Source organism: Homo sapiens, chromosome 4 (genome assembly GCF_000001405.40).
Source record: "Homo sapiens chromosome 4, GRCh38.p14 Primary Assembly".
NCBI classification, from domain to species: domain Eukaryota; kingdom Metazoa; phylum Chordata; class Mammalia; order Primates; family Hominidae; genus Homo; species Homo sapiens.
In genome coordinates, this window is record NC_000004.12 from 9377871 (window position 1) to 9384016 (window position 6146).

General features: G+C 43.5%; 1 annotated feature.

Moving 5' to 3' along the window:
• Positions 3291–3828: an enhancer, noted in NCBI's record as "H3K27ac-H3K4me1 hESC enhancer chr4:9382887-9383424 (GRCh37/hg19 assembly coordinates)". NCBI's record gives its function as "activates a minimal SCP1, AML or CMV promoter by ChIP-STARR-seq in naive H9 embryonic stem cells {active_cell/tissue: H9 hESC(naive)}" and the evidence as "EXISTENCE:reporter gene assay evidence [ECO:0000049][PMID:30033119]".

A 6146-nucleotide genomic window follows, 5' to 3' on the forward strand; every position in this document is an offset into this window, starting at 1 on the left:
TTAATGTTATTATTATATTGGTAGGGTTCTTTATCATGGATATATTTGTGGTCGTTTTTATGCAATGTTGAATTTTTTTTTATGTTCCTGAAGACTGTTGAATTTGCTGAAGATGATTAAAAGACAACCTTAAAACATAAATACCACAGCAACCCCAGGACTCCTACTGTACTGCCTGGTGTCTTGTAGAAGAATGGGCTTCCTGAATTATTCTTTTATTTTTCAGGCAAGTACCTATTCATACCAGCATAGGAGACTGATGAAGTGCACCCTCATCTTGCCATGGGCTAAGAAAGAATTCATATATATGCTTTATGTGATAGCAACTCTATGTGTAGGCTTGTGAGCCCTAGAATGCACTTTCTTTCACAAACTAGTCCACCTAAGAGTTTTCTAAGTCAAATCTCCTCTCCATGCTTGGATAGGTCATGAATGGCTTTCTGTTACCCACCTAAGATGAAGGGATATTTCTAAATCAGGTTTCTGGCCAAGAAACTTTTACCTGGAGTGGCAGGAGAGGGCCTACTTGTTCACCAGAGTGTCTGCAACATTTTCTTTTTTCTTCCTTTTTATTTTATTTATTTATTTTTATTTTATTATTATTATTATTATTTTTTGAGATAGAGTCTCGCTCTGTCGCTCAGGCTGGAGTCCAGTGTCACGATCTTGGCTCGCTGCAACATCCAACTCCCAGGTTCAAGCGATTCTCCTGCCTCAGCCTCCTGAGTAGCTGGGATTACAGGTGCGTGTCACCACGCCCGGCTAATTTTTGTATTTTTAGTAGAGAGGGGGTTTCACCATGTTAGTCAGACTGGTCTCAAACTCCTGACCTCATGATCCGCCTGCCTTGGCCTCCCAAAGTGCTGGGATTACAGGCATAAGCCACCGCACCTGGCCTCTGCAACATTTTCTAAGTCAGTATAGAAGCTCTTTGAACCACCTTTTCAGTCAAAGAACTCATGAAAAAGTCCTGCAAGAACTTGTGACCTTCTGGAAATTGTCAAAATCTCTACAGGTGTCCAGAGCCATCTAGATCTGTATTACAAGCCACTGACTGGGTTCCACCATTATTAAAGCAAATGCAAAATATGCCATGCCCACCAAAAAAAATCCAGAAGCCATGGTATTTAGCTGTTTCCATCGTTCTTGCCTCCTGCAGGTGGGAGAGTACTGAGTATCATGCCCTCCTACAGCCTCTGGAGGACATGCCAGTGCCTAGAGGTACCAGTAGAGAGGGGACATGAAAGAGCAGATGACAGCCAGGTGGCTGGGAATGACATTGTCCTGGAGCTTATTGCTTGTCATGAACTCTGCCACTGGGCAACATGTGCAGGTGTGGACCCATGCCTTCTCTGGATCCCTACCCCATCAGCCAGCTGTCTTATCTACTGAAAGCTGGTAGGTGTTGGTCAGCATGGTGTTCCAGGACCAGGATTATATTAACATTCCCTCTTAGGCTGAAACACCAGAAGTTAACACAGGAGTCCCCAGGTGTGCACATACTAACCTCCAGATTGTTTTTCTTCTCGTTCTAGATGTTCATCCTTGCTTTTTGGGACTTGAAATAACCCTACACAGCCAAATATTTATGCCTGTTATTCACTTATGGAAAACTTATATGTCCCAAGTCCATAGGGTTAGTTTATTATCAGTATTAAAACCATTAGTACTAGTATCATGATGATCATTATTCCTGTTAATATCCATCAATATTTTTATTACTGCCATTGTTCATATGGATTTTTCATTATTGTACAGCAATGAATATAGTTTATCCATTCACAAATGGTGTTCAGTTACCAAAGATGACTACAAGGCATGATCTACAGACATATACACACACAGCTGTCCTGGAGACCCAGCTTTGCCACCAATTGCTCTATCGTAAGATGAGATCCCCCAGTACCCACCAGTTTTTCAGGACTCGACCTGAGTTGGCTCAGCTAGACCTGGAAAAGTTTCCTATGCCCAAATGTACTTGGAAAATTTTAAAAGTCTCTTCAGAGGCCCAGTAATAGCTTTTGGCAGCTTCTAAGACCAGGGAGGGTTTCTTGGCCATTCAGAGCCATTCAAATATTCTAAGTAAACTCAAGGATCCAGAAACCCCACTTAAAGTCATGAAATACCAGTGAATGGCCTCTGTGAGTCTCTTCAAGGTTTTCAAAGATGACTGCCTGGGAAAGCTGGCCAGGAAGTCACCCAAGCCCAATCTTCTGCAGGATGTTCTATGTCAGCCAGGGACCCAGTGAATTGCCATTGAACAGAAGGGAGGAAAAGAGTCAGCATGCCTGAGCGTCTGGAAACATTCTAAGTGCCCTTGTTGGCCCAGAAAAGACTGGTGCTACCATATGAGGCACAGACTTGGCAACCTACCTACTCCAGGAACCACAGAAGGTTTAAACTTTCCCAGGAAGTCCCAGGAAGGGCAGCCAGGGCCCTTTAGAGCCATCAAATTTTATTCTAAGTCTACGTGGGAGACAGTGCGCTTAGCTTCATAAAAACACCAGTGGAGGTGCTAACACTTGCCCCAGTATCCAGTCTTTTCTACCTCATCTCAGAGCCAGGTCGCCAATATTTCCCAAAGCTGCTGTGCAATGAAAGGGGAATATTCTAGGCGCTCTCCTGTGCCCACGAAATTCTGTGGCTGCACTGAACGGCAGGAGTTGCCCTCCGGAATTCTCTTCAGAAATCTGACAACACTGGTCAAGATTAAAGAAGCTCAATTCAACGTCATACAAAACCAATCCCCCCCCCCAAAAAAAAAAAATATATGCATACTGAGACAAAATGGTGAACACACCTGCTAATAATCATGAATGACAATAATAATAACAATGATGATCTTAGTGATAATGCCACCAACACTGTTAATGGCAATAACAATAAACCTGAGGTAATGAGTGTTAGGGTCCCGATTCACCGATATGAAGGATGGCGACAATTTCTGGCCTCACAGAAATAAAGGAAAAGTAAACACCTGGAGGAAGAGGAGGTGAACCTGGAGCTCCCGCCGGCCTCTGGGTGCTCCTTGGTGGAAGGAGAGGGACTTGGTCCTGAGCCTGCCCCGGATCCACCTACACCAGAACCCCGGAGTCCCAGTCCCTGGATGGGCTCAGTCCCACCCAGGCCAGACGCCCCAGAGCCACGTAGCCCGGGTCCTCCAGCCCTCGCTGCCGCCGCTTCTCGCAGAGCCAGGCCCTCCAACCCGTGCCACCTCAGCCTCTGCGGGGCTCTGGGAGGGCAGCGCCGAGGATGCTCCGGGCCCAGCGGGGGCACCCGGGGCCCAGAGGGGTTATCTGGCCTGAGGCGGATACTGACGCCCTGAGGGCATGGAATAGGGCGGCTTGTGCAGGTCCCGCCGTCTCGGGCCTTGCAAAAAGGGCGGCCTCTCCAACGCCCCTACCGGAACCTCCCCGGAGGCCCCAGCCCCAAAGCCAGGGCGATGGCGCCTCCCTGACCATGGGTGAAGAAAACTCAGGTCCTCCCTGGAGACCCGGCCCGCCGCGGGAGGCAGACCGCGCATGCGCCCTGCATGGCCGGAAAGATGGGTTTCATTGCCCTCTGCCGGCCATGAGGTGGCAGCACAGGACGTTTGGCCTTAGCGGTGGACCTGAGTCTGAATCACTGAAATTCAGGTGTGGATTATTCAGTAATTTTCTTTTGGAAGATCAAATGGAAATTGAGTACGATATCTTGTGCTTTAATTAAAGAAGATGGAAATAAAGAAGCAAATTCAAAAATCAATATACAAAAGTCGATTGATTCCCTCTATGTGGAGGGAAGACGAGCTTGAATAAGAAGCATTCTGTGTTATGCTTTAATAATGGCTGGAGATCTGCCACCATGCATTTGTCAAATCCCATAGAATTTCACAGCACAAATAGTACATCTTAATGTGGCTCAGGAGTACATATAATGCCAGCCACAGTTTGTGGGTAAATTACATATTTAATTAAATAGATTAAACAATAAATAATGATATGAGCTCTGCCTGGACACAGTCCTTTCCTCTCCAACCAGTTTGCCAAGGGCTTGAATTTCTTGCTCATCATCCTCACAGTTGACATAAACCCTGGCTGCAGAGTAAAATCAATCACTTGTGGAGATTTTTTAATATAATTATGTGTCAATTTCTACCATGGGTAAGGCCATTTAGCCTTAGTAAGGCCGATCGTATTAAGATTGTGCCTGTTTGGCAAAATTTCAAGTCATCCCACTTGATATTCAGGAAATATTTTCTCTTGAGTTTTAGGTTCAGTGGTGAGGCTCCTTCACGGACAATACATTTCCCAATTCTCAGGACAAGGCAGAGGAGGGCCCCTCTGTGAGAGCTTTCATTTTGCTTCGGGAAAAGTACATTGAATCAAATATAGGAGAGGCTTGCAAGGTGGCTGACAGGTTCGGCTGTTTTATCATGCTGGTGTTTTATCTTCTGGACTGCAGTAAAAGGAGCACAGCTGTGTCTGTCTCTGTGTAATAACTCAGGACTTACCTGAATAAAATGTGGGGTGTTATGAGATGAACTGCTACTTCCAGTTAGAGAGGCTCCAGGGACACAATTTCAAGAGCCTTCTGAGGGATAGAAGAGAAGAGCTGCCTTATTCTCTGATTCCAGGTAACTGCTCAGAGACAGAGGCAAGGGCTGCGGACACCCAAATGCATATACTAGGTGTCTTTGATACAGCCTCCATTTCCCTGCTAAATCTATGCAATGACACACTGAGAAATCTAGCAAGTGGGACTGAAGATCCCTGGTGTGTCAACTCAAGGGTTGGATGGAAACAAGTGGTTTTAGTGGACGTTGAAGTAAAGGGAGGTGAGCTGTGAGGAAAGAGCTGTTGAAGACTGGGGAGACTCAGAAGTTGGGGTAGAATCTCGACCAAGAATCTCACTCAGGGAGTGCAGATGCAAATCGATTTGTTAAGGCTGTATAAATGAAACAAGGGTTTCGCCAACATACTAACTTTTTTCAACAACAGATTGTATTCTTTCAATATTTGTAAGTATTGATCTTTTGGAAAAGTTTAATGAGATTTCTTATATAATTCTGCATTCAATTTATTCCCTGGTCACTTTGTTATTATGAATTTACATGCCACATCTTTATGAATAGATATTTTCTCAAATTTCTGAATTATTTTGCTAAAGTATGTGTTAAGTGTTTTTTCTAGAGGTCCACCTTCTTGACTCACTTTTCTGATGAGAAATCTATCAGGTTTCTCCACAGTGATTTTCAAGTTTGATGTCTCCTCAATGTGAGAAACTTAATGTCAACTAAGAAATGAATTACCACTAAAGAATTCTCTCCTTTCAAGATGCTAACCATGTTTTGTCCAGTGTGAAATCTCACATGTGCCACAAGTGTTGCTCCATGAAGAAAGGATTTCTCATGATTTTTTCATTGCATAACTTCTCCAGTAAGAAGAGTTTGGTATTCCAAGAGAATTCATTGCCCTTGGAAAGACTTTCCCTTCTTATTTAGCTTATGAAGGCTTTCCTCTCTTATTTTCCATTTTAGCAGCATTTTATCACTGTGTTTTCTTGTGAACGTCAAGCCTGGTGCTTGGCTGAATGTTTATTCACAGAAAATACAAATAAAGGTCCATCCAAGTAAAGTTTTCTCATGTTATTTGACAATAAATTGCAAATAAAAACATTTTCACACTGAATGCAGAGTTAGAGATTCTCTAACTGAAAGTCCCACATGTTTTAAGTTAAAGCTGTTGCTGAAGACTTTTAGTTGATTATGTTGACAGTTTCAGCTCTCTCATGTCATTTATGCTCAGATCACTAACAAGTCTTTGGTACATACATGTCATACAATTTCTCTTCCATATGAATGTATTGATGTGGACTGAAGAATAAAGGTAACTGAAGTATCTTCCATGTTGTTTACAGTATTTCTTCAAAATGTGAGTCCTTTGGCATTTTTAGATGCTACAACTACAGCTGAAGTCTCTTCCACATTCCTTACCTTCGTCATTCCTATCACCGTGTCATCTAAAGTCAGAATATGTTCTGAAGAAGTTTATAATTTTCTCTCCTGGGTGAATTTTCTGATGCTATTTAAGATTAGTACATTGACTGAAGGCTTTCCCACATAAATGGCATTCATATGGCTTTTCTCCAGTGCTTGTTCTCTCATG